Below are 19,547 nucleotides of genomic sequence, written 5' to 3' on the forward strand. Positions count from 1 at the left end.
TCATTCTGGAGTCTTGATGCTTCATTTTCCTCATTTTCTTTAAACAAACAAAAATTTTTTTTTGAGATAGGGTCTGTTGCCCAGGATGGAGTGCAGTGGTGCAGTCACAGGTCCCTGCTGCCTCGACCTCCCTGGGCTCAGGTGATCTTCCTACCTCAGCTCCCTACCGCCCCAGGTAGCTGGGACTACAGGTGTGCACCACCACGCCTGGCTAATTTCCATATTTTTTGTCGGGACAGTGTTTCACCATGTTGCCCAGGCTGGTCTCGAACTCCTGGCCTCAAGCACTCCTCCTGCTTTGCCCTTCCAAAGTGCTGGGATTACAGGCGTGAGCCACTGCACCTAGCCAATGAAAAGGTTTTAAAAAAATTAAAATGGGTTGCTCTAGGCCTATACATAACTTTATTTATTTATCTGATTCGTTATATTTTCAAAAACAAACCAGTATTTTTGCATTTGGAAGAAGACAGAGGAATCTGAAACGGATGAGGAATAAGAGAAGCCAAAGGCTCTGTGCTGCCTCAGAACAACACCGGGGGACATATTTGGCAAAACTGCGGCCTGCACCCTTCTTGGACCAAATGCTTAAACTGTGCCTGCACAAAAGCACCGCACATCAAGTCCTTAGAGCACGACACCAGGTAGATGGAGGCAGTACCAAAGGCACAACTTCTCTGCTAACAACCAAAGTCTGCCCATTTCTAGGAGTTCTGCTTTTTTTTTTTTTTTTCTTTTTTGAGACGGAGCCTCGCTCTGTCGCCCAGGCCAGAGTGCAGTGGCACAATCTTGGCTGACTGCAGTCTCAACCTTCCTGGTTCAAGCAATCCTGCCTCAGCCCCTCAGCTAGCTGTGACTGAGGCAAGAGCGCACCACCCTGTCCGGCTATTTTTTTTTTTTGTATTTTTTTGTAGAGATGGGGTTTTGGGGTTTTGCCACGTTGGCCAGGCTGGTCTTGAACTCCTGAGCTCAAGTGATCCACACACCTTGGCCTCCCAAAGTGCTAAGATTACAGGTGTGAGTCACTGAACCCAGGCCTACATATCATTTTTCTTATGCTTAATGCGTCCACCAACAAATAACTGGATAAACAAAAGTGGTCTACACATATAATGGAACAGTATTCAGCCATAAAAAGGAATGAAGTTGAGATACATGTTACAACATGGATGAACCCTGAAAACATTATACTAAGTGAGAGAAGCCACTGACAAGAGATCACACATTGTGTAATTCAATTCTCAAGAAATTTCAGAATAGGCCAATCCTGGCCGGGCGTGGTGGCTCATGCCTGTAATCCCAGCACTTTGGGAGGATGATGTGGCCAGATCACCTGAGCTCAGGAGTTCAAGACCAGCCTGGCCAACATGGTGAAACCCCATCTCTACTAAAAATATAAAAATTAGCCAGGTGTGGTGGCGGGCGCCTGTAACCTAAGCTAGAGGCTGAGGCAGGAGAATCGCTTGAACCCAGGAGGTGGAGGTGGCAGTGAGCTGAGATCACACCACTGTACTCCAGCCTGGGCGACAGAGCGAGACTCCATCACATACACACAAAAAAAGAATAGGCCAATCCACAGAGACAGAAAGTAGATTAGTGGTTGCCAGAGGCTAAGTGAGGCGGGGAAGTAAGAAGTGACTGCTAATAGGTATGGATTTTGGGGGCAGGATGATGGAAATGTTCTAAAATTATAGAGTGGTGGTTGTTACACAACACAGTCAGTATACTAGAAACCACTAAATTATATGCTTTATGAGAGTCAATTTTATGGTAAGTGAATTATATCCCAATAAAGCCATTATTTAAAAAAAAGAATCGGCAGGGACAATTACTAAAAGTGAGGAGTCCTGGACCCACCCTAGACCAAACAAAGCTGACTACCAGAGTAGGATGTAGGAATTTATATTTGTAAGTTTCCCAAAGAGTTCACAGGCATAGTAATAAGAGTTGCTGGCCTAGAGTTGAATCATGGGGGCTATTTTCATGTCACTTGCATTGTCAGTCAGCATCAGAAATACTCTATTTTGCCCTCTCCTTTGTAAGGCAGTATTTATTTTTTTGAGACAAAGTCTTGCTCTGTCACCCAGGCTGGAGTGCAGTGGTACCATCTCAGCTCACTGCAACCTCTGCCACCCGGGTTCAAGCGATTCTTGTGCCTCAGACTCCTGAGTAGCTGGGACTCCTGGCGTGTGCCACCACGCCCAGCTGAATTTTGTAGTTTTAGTAGAGATGGGGTTTCACCATGTTGGCCAGGATGGTCTCGAACTCCCGACCTCAGGTGATCTGCCCGCCTTGGCCTCCCTAAATGCTGGGATTACAGGCGTGAACCACTGTGCACAGCCTGTAAGGCAGTATTTTACTCCAGTAAATGCTTCTGTTTCAGAGCATCTTGGGAATCTGACGCAGGTGCTACCAGCACAAAGTGCGTGCACCTTTTCCTGGAACCCAGATGCTGATGCTTGGAGATGCTGCTCTGCTGATTCTTCCCTCCATGGCCTTCAATATCAAGGCTCCCCCGTACTCTAAAGGAGGCCTCAGGACCAGGAGCATCAACGGAGTAATTTCAGGAATTTCTGTCCTTATAAATACTCAGTCATTGACAATAATACTTTCTTTTAACATCTTGAAGGCCAGTGCAGTGGCTCATGCCTGTAATCCCAGCACTTTGGGAGGCCGAGGCGGGTGGATCACTTGAGTTCGAGACCAGCCTGGCCAACATGGTGAAACCGTCTCTACAAAAATACAAACATTATCTGGGTGTCGTCGTGGGCACCTGTAATCCCAGCTACTCGGGAGGCTGAGGGAGGAGAATCGCTTGAACCTGGGAGGCAGAGGTTGTAGTGAGCCAAGATCGCACCACTGCACTCCAGCCTGGGTGACAGAGTGAGACCCTGTCTCAAAACAACAACAACAAAAACAACTTGATCAGTATTTTCCTGACCAACACCTGTCAGCTTGTCTGACAAATGAAGCCGCTGGGAATCTGTGGCTCGGGCAGCCTGACTGGACTGACCACACTGTGTGACGTGCCGGATGCCAGAGGCAGCTAAAGATGCATATCATTCTCACTTTCATAAACCCGGGAAGGATTTTTTCACATCTGCAGAACATTGTAACATATAGAGATGCATTTGGCTAGCTTAGTAGTTTAGAAACACACTTTGGACTTGACAATATTTGCAAATCATGCTTTTTACCATTCTCCAGAGGGTGAAAATAGAAGAAGTGCAATTTAGTGGCCATCTTGGATAGGAACACTAAATTACAGTGTGTAGAAAGACTCAGTGGCGTCAGTCCTCCAGAGTTAATGCTCAATAACTGCCAGGGTCACCTCTCTGATCAAGGCTAGTATGAGTTTGCCATAAATCATTAAAGCATGAGTTATAAAAGTTATGAAATATGCTAATACAGGTAAAATATGGTTTAATAGTCTGAATTCAGATAAATGTATTTTTTGAATAAAAAAGTACACTTCCTTTTGTTTCTTTTGTGTATTACAGATCGCCAAACAGGGAAGAGTCAGGTTCCAACTTATTTCAACTTTCAAATATGTAAACTTGGTCTTCCTTCTCTCTGTTCTCAGGTAGGCCGGAAACCCAGCTAAGAAACCCTTTTTGTTTCTCAGCTCTACAGAAATCAATGTTAGTGTTCCTATCATTTTTTTGTGATGAAGAAATTGAGCCTCAGGGAGTTAGGTCACATGTTTAAGCTCATACAATAACTCACAAGTAATGGGTCTATGTTTTGAATCCAAGTCTAGTGCTCCTTCGACAATATTCCCGTGGTCTCATATCTAATATAGACTAGAACTAGACTCTAGCTCATCATTACGAATGTCTGTCTTGCTCACCTCTTCAAGATCAGCAACTGTTTTATACTTCTACACCATACCACACTTCAGAAACATTTGTTAATTAAGTGTGATGGGAGAAAGTTTTTTGGTGTGTTTGGATCTGTTTTTTTACGGTTGTATGATTATATATTTCCTTTTTTTTTTTCTTTTTCTGAGACGGAGTCTTGCTCTGTCGCTTAGGCTGGAGTGCAGTGGCACAATCTCACTGCAAGCTCTGCCTCCCGGGTTCACGCCATTCTCCTGCCTCAGCCTCCAGAGTAGCTGGGACTATAGGCGCCCGCCTCCACGCCCAGCTAATTTTTTGTATTTTTTGTAAAGATGGGTTTTCACTGTGTTGGCCAGGATGGTCTCGATCTCCTGACCTCGTGATCTGCCCGCCTCGGCCTCCCAAAGTGCTGGGATTACAGGCATGAGCCACCGCGCCCGGCCTGATTATATATTTCTATACTTTGGGAATATATCCTAACAAAATCCTAAGGATGTAAAAAGTGTTTGCATAAATATTCATAGCTGTTACTTATAATATTGAAAAGTTAAAAGCTACTCAAAAGTTAAGCAATGTAATGGTAATGTAGACTATAATTTAGCTATTCAGTGGAATACAGCTATTCAATGGAATATTATAATGTAAATTAAATTATGTTTAAGAAGACTACGATTCTATAGAGACAGAAAGTAGGCTGGTGATTGCTGAGGTTAGGAGTGGGTGGGTGGGAGGAATAAGGAGTGACTGCTGACAGGTTTGCATTTCTTTCCAGGGTGATGAAAGTGTTCTAAAATTGATGGTGGTGATGGGTTGCACAACTCCACAAATACACTAAAAACTCTGCACTTTTTTTTTTTTTGAGATGGAGTCTCACTCACTCTGTTGCCCAGGCTGGAGTGCAGTGGTGCAATCTCAGCTCACTGCAACCTCCGCCTCCTGGGTTCGAGAGATTCTCCTGCCTCAGCCTCCCAACTAGCTGGGATTGCAAGCGTGCACCACCATGCCCAGCTAATTTTTGTATTTTTAGTAGAGATGGGGTTTCGCCATGTTGGCCAGGCTGCTCTTGAACTCCTGACCTCAAGTGATCTGCCTGCCTCGGCCTCCCAAAGTGCTGGGATTACAGGTGTGAGCCACTGCACCCAGCCAAAACTGTACATTTTAAATGTGTACACACTAAACTATACACTTTAAATGGGTGAATTGTATGGCATGTGAATTATATCTCAATCAAGCTATTATTTAAAAAGAAAATTTTAGGCTGGGTGCAGTGACTCACGCCTGTAACCCCAGCACTTTGGAAGGCCAAGGCTGGTGGATCACCTGAGGTCAGGAGTTCAAAACCAGCCTGGCCGACATAGTGAAACCCCGTCTCTACTAAAAATACCAAAAAAATTAGGCGGGCATGGTGGCGGGCGCCTGTAGTCCCAACTACTCAGGAGGCTGAGGCAGGAGAATCGCTTGAACCCAGGAGGCGGAGGTTGCATGGAGCCAAGATTGCGACACTGCACTCCAGCCTGAGCGACAGAGTAAGACTCTGTCTCAAAAAAATAAAAAAAGAAAATTTTAAACTGAAGCTAGAAAGAAAAAAGAAGACTATTATTAAATGGAAAAAACGTTCCTGTTGTAATGTTAGCCAAAAGAAACAGAATCCAAAACCTTGTGTCCAAAATGAATGAAACAATGTTTAAAAGGGGTGGGGGGGGGGAGGAGGAATTTATTACTATTCAAAACTGCACACAAAAGAAAATGACTGGAAGTAAATTTAATGAGGGAGTAACAGTAGTTGCCATTGGGTAAGAGACTTTGATTTTTTTTTTCCATTCTCTGACATCTATATTTCTAACAACAACCACCCCCCCACCAGATTTCCAAATTTTCTATTATAAGCATATATTATAATTGCTATTGCAAATACAGCAGGGGAGAGGGGGAATATAAACGCTGCTGTTGTCTGTGGGTGTCTGGGTCTGCCCTGCGGTGCCCAGCAAGTCCCACAGCTGCCTTGCAGCCACGACCACAGCTGCAGGGCATCCAGCTCAGGTGAGTTCATCACTCCGCACCGGTTTTGCTTTGCCATCATATCTCCTGAAGGGAAGGCTAAGTGATACTTTATTCTCATTAGCTCCTTTCCCTTAGAGATGACCAAGATTTAGATCCTGTTCTGCAGTAACCACATCCCAGTACAGATGTTTCAATGGGTCCAAAGAGCGATTATGTGGAAACCAATGGCTAAAGGGAAATACAGTCATCCCTTGGTATCCTCGGGGGATTGGTTCCAGGATGTCACTCAGATATCAACATTCATGGATGCTCAAGTCCCATAAAAATGGCATAGTATTTGGATATAACCTATGTACATCCTCCCATATACTTAATTTAAAAACTTTTTTCAAGAGACAAGGTCTCGCTCTGTCGCCAGGCTGGAGTACAGTGGTGGCATCATGGCTCACTGCAGCCTCAACCTCCTAGGCTCAAGTGATCCTCCCACCTCAGCCTCCTGAGTAGCTGGGACTACACGTGTGAGCCACTAGGCTCAGCTAATTAAAAAATTTTTTTTTTTTGTAGAGACAGAGTCTTGCTATGTTGCCCAGACTGGTCTTGAACTCCTGGCCTCAAGCAACCCTCCCACCTTGGCCTCCCAAAGTGCTAGGATTACAGATGTGAGCCACCACCAGGCCTGGCCCTTCCACATACTTTAAATCATTTCTAGATTACTTATAATACCCAATACAACCTAAATGCTACGTAAATAGTTGTTATACTGTGTTGTTTAAGAAATAATGACAAGAGAAAAATAGTCTGTACATGTTCAGTACAAATGCAAACACCCTAGGCATAACTACATTGTACACATCTGCAATGTAACACGTTCTGGAATGTTTTTTTTCTGAGTATTTTCAGTCTGTGGTTGATTGAATCCTCGGATGCGGAACTCACAGATACAAAGGGCCTGTTATAGTCACGTAATTCATTCTTGCAACTAATATTTGTGCCTGCTTCTCTCAGGGAACAGAGTAAAACCTGGGAGAAATGTAAAATAGATTAATTTGCCCTCTGACAGTTTCCATTCTCATACAGGAAATAAGATGCACATGAATGTCTCCAATACAAAACACAGTCTGATAAGCAAAACAGGTGAAAGTGAATGCCACTTGTGGAAGAGCAGCCCTGAGTTGGGCTTGAAGATTGGGCTGAATTTCGTTTGGGGTACGTGGCTGGAAGGCACAGATATTTGCATAATCTCAGAATGACTAATATTTAAGGAAGCACCAGCCACTGAATGAAAAGCAACACTGGCTCCATAAGGAGGAGACGCCCAAATGATTTTTAGGATTTCTTTGTAGGGGTCAAGCAACACACAAACCAAGGCAGAATCTGTGAACACAACTTGTGTAGACTTTCTGAAAGCTGTTGCCAAGATGATACCAGAAGCATAATGACCTTTAAATTTTTAAATTTTGTGCCGGGCGTGGTGGCTCATGCCTGTGATCCCAGGTCTTTGGGAGGCTGAGATGGACAGATCACTTGAAGCCAGGAGTTCAAGACCAGCCTGGCCAACATGGTGAAACCGTCTCTACTAAAAACACAAAAATTAGCCAGGCGTGGTGGCACATGCCTGTAATCTCAGCTACTCGGGAGGCTGAGGCAAGAGAATCGCTTGAACCTGGGAGGCGGAGGTTGCAGTGAGCGAAGATTGCACCACTGCACTCCAGCCTGGGCGACAGAGCAAGACTCCATCTCAAAAAAAAAAAAATTAATTTTGAAATAATTTCAAGTTTACAGAACCGTTGCAAGAATAGTACAGAAAATTTATATACTCTTTATCCAAATTCACCAAGTTTTCACAGCCCCTCCTCCTCAGACTTGTTAAAATGCTCTTTCGGAGGCTCAGCTTAAATGAGTGCTATCCAGCCATCAGGAGCCTTCAGTGCTCATGAGTATAAAAGAACACAGAATTTTACAACACCAGTGTACTGAAGTAAGCATGCCCAGGTCCAAGAGACAATTCAACCCCCGTCCCAGCCCCAACCGTCCACCAACCCTCTAGGGGGACACTGAATACTTTTTCCTTCTTCTTCTTCTTCTTCTTATTTTTATGTGGAGATGGGGTCTTGCTATGTTGCCCAGGCTGGTCTAGAACTTCTGGACTCAGGGGATCTGCCTGCCTTGGCCTTCCAAAGTGCTGGGATTACAGGCGTGAGCCATCATGCCAGGCCCCTATGATCGTTTTAAACACGAATCTGTATCCATATGGCTGGAGCTGAGTAAACTTTGGCTGCTAAGTAAACTAAAGCCCCCATTAGGTTTGCCTCTAGCCTGGCCCAGGAAGTTTGGTGTGAACTGATCATTCTCTGCATTATGGAGGTCACAAGAGCAGCCCTCAAGAAGTCCCTCTCCGGCTGGGTGTGGTGGCTCACGCCTGTAATCCCAGCACTTTGGGAGGCTGAGGCGGGCAGATTACCTGAACTCAGGAGTTCGAGACCAGTCTGGCCAAAATGGCAAAACCAAAATTAGCCAGGTGTGGTGGCGGGTGCCTACAATCCCAGCTACTTGGGAGACTGATGCAGAAGGATTGATTGAACCCGGGAGGCAGAGGTTGCAGTGAGCCAAGATCATGCCACCGCACTCCAGCCTGGGCGACACAGCGAGGCTCTATCTCCAAAAAAAAAAAAAAAAAAAAGTCCCTTTCCCTCCCAGAGGAGACTGTCATGACACTGAAGGTGCTAGGAACATCTTAGTAAGGCTGTAGTCAGGAGACCTAACCTTTCTGAGGACCTAAAGAGCGTATGGAGGGCTGGGTGCGGTGGTTCACGCCTGTAATCCCAGCACTTTGGGAGGCCGAGGCGGGCAGATTACGAGGTCAGGAGTTCGAGACCAGCCTGGCCAACATGGTGAAACCCCGTCTCTACTAAAAATACAAAAATTAGCCAGGCATGGTGGCGGGCGCCTGTAATCCCAGCTACTCGGGAGGCTGAGGCAGGAGAATCACTTGCACCCAGGAGGCACAGGTTGCAGTGAGCCGAGATCATGCCACAGCCTGGGTGACAGAGCAAGACTCCGTCTAGAAAAAAAAAAAAAAAAGAGCATATGGAAAGTGTCACAACAGGAAGATCTGCTGAACCCTTGAATTTAAATAGGCCACAGTATCAAAAGGTGTATAATTTTCCTCCTCGCTTGCTTCCTTCCTTCCAATAAAACCCTACTGAAAAAACTCTGGCCTTATATTGACATGGATGAAGGAGAAATTTCTGTGGGAAATTAAAAATAAATGGCAGGTATACCTTCTTCAGTTCTTGTTTGGATCTACAATCTAGCAGAAAGTCCATCTCACATCCCTATTTCCACACCTAACGCCCCGGCAGGGCCATATGTGAGTGAAAAACATTTACGAGAGGCTGCAGAGTCCGGATGAGCAGAAGGAGGAGCTGAGCTGACAGGAGGAATGGGATGATCGAATCCTTTTCCCATCCCCTGGTCTATTTATAGAGTCATCTGCCTTCAGGAAATGCTGAGCCCCTTCTCCCAGGACCCTGTTGGGAGTGACGCCTGTGCTGGCTGACCCAGCCTTCCACATCCTCCTCCTGGCCTCAGCAGCTCTCCCCTTGTGATCCAGTGGGTTACTGGGAACCCAGCCTGTAAATGACAGTGCTTCTCAGAGGTCCCAGTCTAGTGAGGAAATTCAAGGAGGAAAGGCAAAACAACAACAACAACACAACAACAACAACAACAAACTTAATGATACTGGAAAAGCGCCTGGCACAGAGAGGCCCCTCAACACCAACACAGGGAGGGAACAGGTGGGACGCCAGGGCTGCAGGTGACAACACTGTGGCCCAGGGGGGTTTTGGCTCACCTAGCCTGTCACCTGGCCACATGGTGGCAGAGGTAGAAGCAGAACCCAGGGCTCCTGTTACCCTGTCTGGGGCTCATTCACCTCCTCACCCTCCTTTCCATTGCCTCAGGGGACTCAGGTTTCCATGGAGAAGCTGTCACAGGAGAACCTGGATCTGCTAGTTACACGTTCCATGTTCTTGAAGGCATTTCTTTTCCTTTTTTTTTTCTTAGCTGAAGAGCCACTTCTTCAGAAACCCAGAGAGATTTGTGAAGTTCGTGTTTCTGGTGATTGTTTTTTTTTTAGAAGTGAGAAATGTTCTTTGTTATTATTAGGCTGTTGAGAGATTTTGTTTTTCTTTGTTTTTTTTGTTTTTTTTTGTTTTTTTTTTTTTGCTTTTTGAGACAGCATCTCTCTCTGTTGCCAAGGCTGGAGCGCAGTGATGTGAATACAGCTTCGACCTTATGTCCAGCAATCTTCCTGCTTCTGCCTCCCAAGTAGCTGGAATGACAGGCGTGCACCACCACGCCCAGCCTGGAGATTTTTTAAAAAACAACAAAAAACAAAACACATTTGCCTTATAGCTACCAGATAACATTAGCCATGAGGCCAGGCACGGTGGCTCATGCCTGTAATCCCAGTACTTTGGGAGGCCGAGGCAAGCGGATCATCTGAGGTCAGGAGTTGGAGACCAGCCTGGCTAACATGGTGAAACCCTGTCTCTACTAAAAACACAAAAATTAGCTGGGCGTGGTGGTGCATGCCTGTAATCCAAGCTACTCAGGAGGCTGAGGCAGGAGAGTCACTTGAGCCCGGGACACAGAGGCTGCAGTGAGCCGAGATCGCGCCACTGCATTCCAGCCTGGGCGACAGAACGATACTCCGTTTCAAGAAAGAAAAAAAAAGAACAGTCTGGGTGCTGTGGCTCATGCCTGTAATCCCGGCACTTTGGGAGGCTGAGACAGGCAGATCACTTGAGGTCAGGAGTTTGAGACTAGCCTGGCCAACATGGTGAAACCCTGTCTCTATTAAAAATACAAAAAAATTAGCTGGACCTGGTGGCGTGTGCCTGTAAACTCAGCTTCTGTGGATGCTGAGGCAGGAGAATTGCTTGAATGCAGGAGGCAGCGTTTGCAGTGAGCCGAGATCATGCCATTGCACTCCAGCCTGCCAGACAGAGCGAGACTCCGCCTCAAAAACAAAAACAAAAAACAAAAACAAACAAAAAAACGAAAACAAAAAACATTAGCCATGGGCTCCTGCTGAATGCTTTTTCTTCTTTTATAAGAAAAGAAGAAAAAGTTGATGTTCTAACAAAATGTATATAACCTTGTGTTACGTCTTGTATGGTTGGCTTCAAATGTTATTTATACATTTTTTATTGAAGGTTTCACATATTTATGTTTTGACACCTCAAATTAAGCTGCAATGATGAATGAACAGCTGATACAAATTGAGCACTTACTATTCCCTAAGCAAGATTTTACACAGGTCATTTAGTTTAATGTTCACAGTAAGCTTACTATTGCCTCCCCTTCTCAGATGTGGACATTAAGGCCTGGAGGGATTAACTTTTCCCAAGGCTGCGTGGGTGCTGAATGCGTCAGGGTGTCTGACTCCAGGGTCCAGGTGCCTAACGCCTACAGGTCCACCTTGACGGCACCGTACGGGCCTTCCACTCCTCAATCCAGATTAGGAACTTGGGAAATAGTTATGATTTTATTTTATTCAAGCACCCAGTCTCCTCCCTTCCCCTTCTCCGTCCCCTGCACACCATGCATGCTGTGACACCGAGGCCCTGCCTGGCCAGATCCTCCACTTCCAGAGGCAGCCCTCAGGCTGCCATTTTGTGGCTTCTTTTCCCTCTGAAGGCTTTCCTGCTGTTGGTTTTGATCTGACCTCACTGGATAGTAATCCTGAGAATGGGAGGAAGGACCACCCGGTGTGATCTGTCCTGGTCTCTGAGCACCTGGACAGCCTCGGGGCCTGTGCCTCCCAGGGCTGGAGGCTCACGCTGCACCACTGAACAGCCCACTTGAATGGAATGCACCCGTAGGTCACGTTCGTTTGCTTGCTTCCTGGCACATCTCCCTCTCCAGCTGTGCTACCCGCAGAATCCTCTTTCCCACCTCCTTTCTCCCTCTTGCCTTCCTGTCCTCCTCTTCCTTTCCTCCCCTCAGACTCTTCCCACCCTCTTTTGCTGGCTTCTGTTCTTTCCATGAGCAGAGAGTTTCCAGGCCTGGCTCCCAGCCAGCACATTTGGACAAAAGGCAGCAATCTTAGAGGGAGACGTCATCTTCCATCCCCTTGCTTGGGGCCAGCACAAGAGAATGGAGCTGAGGCTACTCCTGCAGCTGCTCCCGGGTTCTGAGAAAAAGCTTGAGAGAGGGTTTATCATAAGGATTAAAAGCAAAGGGTTTGGAATCAGACAGACCCAGGTTTAAATTCCAGTGAACTTGGAGAGCTGCGGGACCTCGATCAAGATACATTTCTAAGCCTTAGTTCTCGCCTCTGTAAAATGGTGATAATGGTAGCACTTACTTTAAGAGACTGGTAAGGATTAGATGAAATTGCACCTGTAAAACATTCAGCACAGTGCATAGCCCAGAAAAAGCGCTCAGCAAATGTCTTCCATTATTCTAAGGTGAACTTAACCCTGCCAAATAATACTAATAAGTAATAATGCTCTAACATATTATTGTAAATATTTATTTATTTATTTTTAGTTTAGTTTAGTTTTTTGAGATGGACTCTTGCTCTGTCACCCAGGTTGGAGTGCAGTGGCACAATCTTGGCTCACTGCAACCTCCACCTCCAGAGTTCAAGCAATTCTTGTGCCTCAGTCTCCCGAGTAGCTGGGACTACAGGCGCACACCACCATGCCTGGCTAATTTTTTTTGTATTTTTGGTAGAGACGGGGTTTCACCATGTTGGCCAGGCTGGTCTCGAACTCCTGCCTGCCTGCCTTGGCCTCCCTAAGTGCTGGGATTACAGGTATGAGTCACTGCACCCGGCCTATTTTTATTTTTAATTTTATTTATTTATTTTTTTTTGAGATGAGATCTTACTCTGTCACCCAGGATGATTGCAGTGGTGCAATCACAGTTCACTGCAGCCTCAAACTCCCAAGCTCAAGCAGTCCTCCTGCCTCAGCCTCCCAATTAGCTGGGACCAAAGGCGTGCACTGCAACAACTGGCTAATTTTTTTTTTTGTAGAGACATAGAAACAGGGTTTTGATTTGTTGTGCGGGCTGGTCTCTAACTCCTGGGCTCATGCAATCTTCCCACCTCAGCATCCCAAACTGCTGGGATTACAGCTGTAAGCCACCATGCCCAGCATACATTAATTCTTTTTTTTTTTTAAGACAGAGTTTCACTCTTGTCCTCCAGGCTGGAGTGGTTCAAGCAATTTTCCTGCCTTGGCCTCCTGAGTAGCTGGAACTACAGGCGTGTACCACCATGCCCAACTAATTTTTGTATTTTTAGTAGAGATGGGGTTTCACCATGTTGGCCAGGCTTGTCTCGAACTTGACCTCAAGTGATCTGACAGCTTCGGCCTCCCAAAGTGCTGGGATTACAGGTGTAAGCCACTGTGCCTGGCCAGCATACATTAATTCTTAATGAATTAGTAATAACAGTACCATGTCCTCAACTCACCTGCAGGGCTGCTTACACAGCCTCATTTGTTTGCAAGTGTGGGTAAGCTCTAAACTACTCTCCAACATACAAGTGCTGTTATAATCTGTAAAAGCTGGTTTTGGAATTAGAAGGTGACCTGATCCCCTTCCCTTTGCAGCAGAAGTCAGGGTGCACAGTGACCTGTTAGTCCTCAGTTGCACTGGCTATGGTGCCAACTGTGAAAGTAAGGCGGAGGTCGCCCTCAGACCAGCGCAGCTTGCTCTGCCTGACCTGAGACCCTACTTCTGTTTGTTTCCTATCTGTGCCTGGTGTTTTGTACTCAGAAGTTGTGCAATGCCTGGAAATGTGCTCATTTTTATTTAGCTAACTTTCAAGATACGGGAAATCCCCTTTGGCCTAAAATTTCTTTCTTTTTTTTTTTTTTTTTTTTTGAGGTGGAGTCTTGCTCTGTCACCCAGGCTGGAGTGCAGTGGCGCGATCTCAGCTCACGGTAACCTCTGCCTCCCAGGTTCAAGGCATTCTCCTGCCTCAGCCTCCCTAGTAGCTGGAACTACAGGCATGCGCCACCACGCCCGGCCAATTTTTTTGTATTTTTAGTAGAGACGGGGTTTCACCATGTTGGTCAGGCTGGTCTCGAACTCCTGACCTCAAATGATCCGCCTGCCTCGGCCTCCCAAAGTGCTGGGATTACAGGCATGAGCCACTGCACCTGGCCTATAATTTCATTTAGTTAATCTGAGCCAGCATTGATCAGTTTAAAACTAATCAATATGATTAATCAGCAAGCTGGAGACAGTTCTCTTTGAGGTGCTATTGGGAATACACAAGTATAAAAAATGGTCCCTGCCCTCAAGCTAGAGATAAAAGATATAAACCCTATCAACCAAATGGCAATAAAAGATTGCAATTGTTCAAAACGGAAAGACAAGGTTGGTTCAGGGAATGCCTGACACGCCCTTAAACTCACAGAAAACTCAAGAGGAATCCATGAAGATCTATTTTTTCAAAGACAATTAGGACAACCAAAACAGAATGGTGTCTAGGGTGAAAGGCAGTATTCAAAATTAACCGCAGAGGTGTGCAGGAGCGCCATTAGAGACTGGGTGGAGGAATACATTCGAACACGGTGGCAAATGTTATGAAACAAATATAAACTGGAGAAATTTGGAGGAGGACAACGAAAGGGGAGCCAGGGACTGCTTCAAAGAGGTAGCGCCTGGTGGCCAAGAAAGACTCCATTGGATTCCAAGAGTTGGGGAAGGGAAAGTGCTCCTGAGGAGGCCAGTGCATGGAGTAAAGAACAAGGCAAAGCCTGCCCAGCATGAAGACCGCCTGCTAGGACAGGAGCACCAGGACTCACGTGGGAGCCAGGGAGAAGACGGACCCGGCAGCAGGCTAGATGTTGGGATGTTCTGAAATGAGAAAGAGGAGTGAAGGTTTGCTAACCCAGGGAAATAAGGAGGCCACAGAATGTAATGATAATATGTTCTCTTTTGGACACATTAAGGTGAGAGTGGTACATTCAAGAGGCAGTGAGAGGTAATGAGCTAACGGTCTTTATAAAGAACAACTCAGAGGTCCAGTTTGGGAGGGAGCGATGAAACTGAGCATGATGAACTGAGGGAGACAGTGAAGAGGGAGAAGGTAGTGAACAAGTGAGGCACGGGTTGCTCTTATGGTGCTCTTGTTACTTCACTCTCTACATGGTGTCTTTTATGTTTCTTTCTCTCTCTTTTTTTTTTTTTTTTTGAGATGGAGTCTCATTCTGTCGCCCAGGCTGGAGTTCAGTGGCGCAATCTCAGCTCACCACAACCTCCACCTCCTGGGTTCAAGCAATTCTGCTGCCTCAGCCTCCCGAGTAGCTGGGATTACAACAGGTGCCTGCCACCATGCCCGGCTAATTTTTGTATTTTTAGTGGAGACGGGGTTTCACCATGTTGGCCAGGCTGGTCTCGAACTCCTGACCTCAAATGAGCCACTGCGCCAGGTCTTTTTTTTTTTTAAGACAGGGTCTCACTCTGTCACCCTGGCTGGAGTGCAGTGGCACCATCGCGGCTCACTGCAGCCTCGACCTCTTGTGCTCAAGTGATCCTCCCACCTCAGCCTCCTGAGTGGCTGGGACCACAGGCATGTACCACCATGGCTGGCTAATTTTTGTATTTTTCTCAAAGACAGGGTTTCACCATGTTGCCCAGGCTCTTTGTATGTTTCTTTACCTGGACCTTCCAACTAGACAGGGAGTTCTAGTGGCAGAACACGCGCACTGGCTTCTTTTTATTCCCTACAATGCCTAACCGAGACTTTGGTCTACTGTGAGGGTTGCATAAATACTTGTTGAATAAGAATAGGAGGAAGCAGTGAAGAACTCTTCTTTGAAAGACAATTAAAACAACCAAAACAGTATGGCGTCTACACTGAGGAGGCAGTATTCAAAATACATAACAGGCTGGGCTCACACCTGTAATCCTAGCACTTTGGGAAGCCAAGGCGGGCGGATCATTTGAGGTCAGGAGTTCGAGACCAAACTGACCAACACGGTGAAAGCCTGTTTCTACTAAAAATAAAATAAAATAAAATACAAAAAATTAGCCAGGCATGGTGGCACACACCTGTAATTTCAGCTACTCGGGAGGCTGAGGAAGGAGAAACACTTAAACCTGGGAGGCGGAGGTTGCAGTTAGCCAGGATCATGCCACTGCGCTCCAGCCTGGGCAACAGAGTGAGACTCCGTCTCAAAAAACAAAAACAAAAACACACAACAAAATTATAACAAAGGTGTGCAGGAGCCCAACAAGCAGAATGGCCTTATTGTTAACACTTTAATGGCCAGATCTTGGCAGGGGGAGAGTTAGTGGTCCTGGGAGTGTGGGACACCCTATTTACCAACCAGAATAGAAGTATTTCAGTATTTTGACAAGTGGCGCAGATTCATCACTGCACCCATTTTACATCCACCTTGACTTGTGTTTCAAGAAGGAAGGGTCAGGGGTGTGTCAAGTGCATTAGTGAGATCAAGAAGCATGAGAACAGGGAACTGGCCACAGACGAACCATTAGTAACCTAAGATATGGTTTCAGCAGATGGATAGGAATAGAAGCCAGATTTCGGGGGTGTGGGGAAGGAACATGTGGATCTGCCTCGTGGGACTCTTGCATTTGTTCTGCTTCTTTCTTGGTCCCAAAAGGAGCATTCTCTTTCTCGTTTTCTCTGACAAATTGGCAGCCTGAACCTCGGGGTTGTGTGTGTACCCAGAAGCAGCCTCTTAGCCCCTTTACCCATCTCTCTCAGTTCTGTACCAGACCAGGAATCTTGGCTGTCCTATATTCAAGGGAAAGAAGAGCCTGGAATAAGAGGCTCTCTTGGCTCTCTGTGGTGCTGGAATCTTCAAGTCTGATTGTTTTGAGAGGGATTAAGAAGCTCTCTCTTCTCTGACATTTTTCCACCCTATTAGATGCATCAGTCAGCTGGAGGGTAAACAGAGGGCACTGGTCCCCTTCTGATATCCTGGAAGGTTGTCTATGTTTGTTGATTGTCACAAATACAGATGATGAAATGAACCAGATGACAGTCACCACAAGATGCCAGGGAGTTATATTTGGGGTTGGATGACCACACACTTCATGACAAATCTGAACAAATCTCATCTGCAGCTCAGAGTATTAAGTAGAGAATCCCTCTGAGTCTCCAGGGTGCTGGAGACATTGCCCTGGCTGAAGATCCCAGAGCACGAGGCAAGCTGCTTCGGGAAGTTCCTTTCTATCTTCGCGGTCACCACCCCGACCAAATCTGCGGCTGAGAGACTAGTCTCACTCCAAGCTCGGGAGATGCAAGTTCTATGTCTTAGGCTGTCCTGTCATTTCTATCTAGTAACCAAACTAGAGCATATAGCTTCTCCCCCAACCAAGTTCAACCTGGACCATGCCGGGTCAGTCTGAATTGTGATTTGCTGTGTGATCCCTTACAAATGCCTCTGCTTGGTCATCTGGGGAGGTTTAGCCTATATTTACCAGGCACATGAAATGCCAAATAAAATTATAGAAGTGTCCTGTTTTAATGCTTCAAAGTTTGCTGGAAGAAGACAGGCAGTTACTATTTTTCCATGGTGAGCTGGGAGAGGCAGTGAAAGTAGAATCTGACTCCTCTGATTCATTGAATGGGAGCAAGAAGGAAGTTCATATGCAACCTTGGACTACCCACCTGGCTTCCTCCCCTTCCCTAAACTCAAGCCTCAACTCTAGATGTGGATAAGAAAGGTGGTGGGAGATAGACAGAGGGGTGGTACCAAATCACTTCTGGCTGGGTCAACACACCTGTCCCAGCAAGGAGAATGAATGAGCATATCCAACTCTCAGCCTTTACCAGCGTGGCCACAAGGTGCAGTTTGCAGGGACAGTCCAGGTTAATTAAGCCTATTGTACATCAATTAACAACTTACTTTTAGTGCTTTTTTTCTTTTTTTGAGAAGGAGTTTAGCTCTAGTCAACCAGGCTGGAGTGCAGTGGCGCGATCTCGGCTCACTGCAACCTCTGCTTCCTGGGTTCAAGTGATTCACCTGCCTCAGCCTCCTGAGTAGCTGGGACTACAGGCGCCTGCCTCCACACCCGGCTAATTTTTGTATTTTTAGTAGAGATGGGGTTTCATTGGCCAGACGGATCTCCAACTCCTGACCTCAGGTGATCCGGCCCACCTCAGCCTCCCAAAGTGTTGGGGTTACAGGCATGAGCCACCATGCCTGGCCTTTTTTTTTTTTTTTTTGAGACAGTCTCCCTCTTTTGCCCAGGCTGGAGTCCAGTGGCGCAATCTCAGCTCACTGCAACCTCCACCTCCTGGGTTCAAGCGATTCTCCTGCCTCAGCCTCCTGAGTAGCTGGGATTATAGGCGTGTGCCACCATGCCCAGCTAATTTTTTTTTTTTTTTTTTGAGACAGAGTCTTGCGCTGCCGCCCAGGCTGGAGTGCAGTGGCGCAATCTCGGCTCACTGCAAGCTCCGCCTCCCGCGTTCACACCATTCTCCTGTCTCAGCCTCCTGAGTAGCTGGGACTATAGGCACCTGCCACCATGCCCGACTAATTTTTTGTATTTTTAGTAGAGATGGGGTTTCACCATGTTAGCCAGGATGGTCTCCATCTCCTGACCTCGTGATCCACCCGCCTCAGCTTCCCAAAGTGCTGGGATTACAGGCGTGAGCCACCGTGCCTGGCCCTAATGTTTGTATTTTTATAGAGATGGGGTTTGGCCAGGCTGGTCTCAAACTCCCGACCTCAAGTGATCTACCCGCCTTGGCCGCCCAAAGTGCTAGAATTACAGGTGTGAGCCACCGCGCCTGGCCTAATGCTCTCTTTTTACTTTCTCTACAGTCCTACTTTGTGTATATGGTTACCCTATATTTTACCTACCATAAACTTGCAGAGAATTTAGTGCTGAATCAAATTTGACCATTATTGCATCTTCTCTGCTGAGAAGTGGGGAAGTGTGAGGGAGAGAGAGAGGCCCTTGAAATTGCTTTGCTAGGTTGGCTCTTTTGTGTCACTCGGTCCACCCATCCTAGGTTTCAGCCTACACAACATGTGGAATCATGGTGATGTGCCATCAAGGTTATGGAAACACGAAACCAACAGCAAGAGACGAACTTGGGACAACACGGAAGACAATCTATAAAGATTTTTTTGAGACCTCTGTTGCCCAGGCTGGAGTGCAGTGGTGTGATCTCGACTCACTGCAATCTCTGCCCACCAGGCTCAAGTGATCCTCCCACTTCAGCCTCCAACCTCGGCTACTACCAACAATGCTGCCACAAATACTCTCCAACACTTGTTCTAATATTTTTCTAAGATAAATTCCTAAAAATGGAATTGCGAGATTAAAATAGATTTCTTTTTTTTTTTTTTTCCGAGACAGAGTCTCGCTCTGTCACCCAGGATGGAGTGCAGTGGCGCGACCTCGGCTCACTGCAACCTCCACCTACCGGGTTCACACCATTGTCCTGCCTCAGCCTCCCGGGTAGTTGGGACTACAGGTGCCCGCCACCACGCCCGGCTAATTTTTTGTATTTTTAGTAGAGACGGGGTTTCACCGTGTTAGCCAGGACCGTCTTGATCTCCTGACCTCGTGATCCGCCTGCCTTGGCCTCCCGAAGTGCTGGGATTACAGGCGTGAGCCACCGCGCCCGGCCTAAAATACATTTCAAAGCCACATACTTAATGAATCTATTTGTGCCAAGTGATGGTTATTTTGAAAATG

The 19,547-nt window shown here is 46.5% G+C and overlaps 1 protein-coding gene across 4 annotated transcripts in view, besides 6 other annotated features; it reads right to left on the bottom strand.

Annotated features, from left to right (window-relative positions):
* The window catches only part of DENND2A (DENN domain containing 2A), a 123,042-nt gene that overhangs the window by 96,400 nt on the left and 7,095 nt on the right, over positions 1-19,547 (bottom strand). The gene's annotated exons all lie outside the window — the stretch shown is intronic.
* Positions 9,631-9,925: a silencer, noted in NCBI's record as "tiled region #9531; HepG2 Repressive non-DNase unmatched - State 24:Quies". NCBI's record gives its function as "represses a minimal TATA promoter and a strong SV40 promoter by Sharpr-MPRA in HepG2 cells {active_cell/tissue: HepG2}" and the evidence as "EXISTENCE:reporter gene assay evidence [ECO:0000049][PMID:27701403]".
* Positions 10,151-10,742: an enhancer, noted in NCBI's record as "H3K27ac-H3K4me1 hESC enhancer chr7:140324769-140325360 (GRCh37/hg19 assembly coordinates)". NCBI's record gives its function as "activates a minimal SCP1, AML or CMV promoter by ChIP-STARR-seq in naive H9 embryonic stem cells {active_cell/tissue: H9 hESC(naive)}" and the evidence as "EXISTENCE:reporter gene assay evidence [ECO:0000049][PMID:30033119]".
* Positions 11,333-11,924: an enhancer, noted in NCBI's record as "NANOG-H3K27ac-H3K4me1 hESC enhancer chr7:140325951-140326542 (GRCh37/hg19 assembly coordinates)". NCBI's record gives its function as "activates a minimal SCP1, AML or CMV promoter by ChIP-STARR-seq in primed H9 embryonic stem cells {active_cell/tissue: H9 hESC(primed)}" and the evidence as "EXISTENCE:reporter gene assay evidence [ECO:0000049][PMID:30033119]".
* Positions 12,515-13,106: an enhancer, noted in NCBI's record as "H3K27ac-H3K4me1 hESC enhancer chr7:140327133-140327724 (GRCh37/hg19 assembly coordinates)". NCBI's record gives its function as "activates a minimal SCP1, AML or CMV promoter by ChIP-STARR-seq in primed H9 embryonic stem cells {active_cell/tissue: H9 hESC(primed)}" and the evidence as "EXISTENCE:reporter gene assay evidence [ECO:0000049][PMID:30033119]".
* Positions 13,107-13,696: an enhancer, noted in NCBI's record as "H3K27ac-H3K4me1 hESC enhancer chr7:140327725-140328314 (GRCh37/hg19 assembly coordinates)". NCBI's record gives its function as "activates a minimal SCP1, AML or CMV promoter by ChIP-STARR-seq in primed H9 embryonic stem cells {active_cell/tissue: H9 hESC(primed)}" and the evidence as "EXISTENCE:reporter gene assay evidence [ECO:0000049][PMID:30033119]".
* Positions 18,363-18,863: an enhancer, noted in NCBI's record as "H3K4me1 hESC enhancer chr7:140332981-140333481 (GRCh37/hg19 assembly coordinates)". NCBI's record gives its function as "activates a minimal SCP1, AML or CMV promoter by ChIP-STARR-seq in naive H9 embryonic stem cells {active_cell/tissue: H9 hESC(naive)}" and the evidence as "EXISTENCE:reporter gene assay evidence [ECO:0000049][PMID:30033119]".

Source organism: Homo sapiens, chromosome 7 (assembly GCF_000001405.40).
Source record: "Homo sapiens chromosome 7, GRCh38.p14 Primary Assembly".
In the NCBI taxonomy this organism is placed as follows: Eukaryota; Metazoa; Chordata; class Mammalia; order Primates; family Hominidae; genus Homo; species Homo sapiens.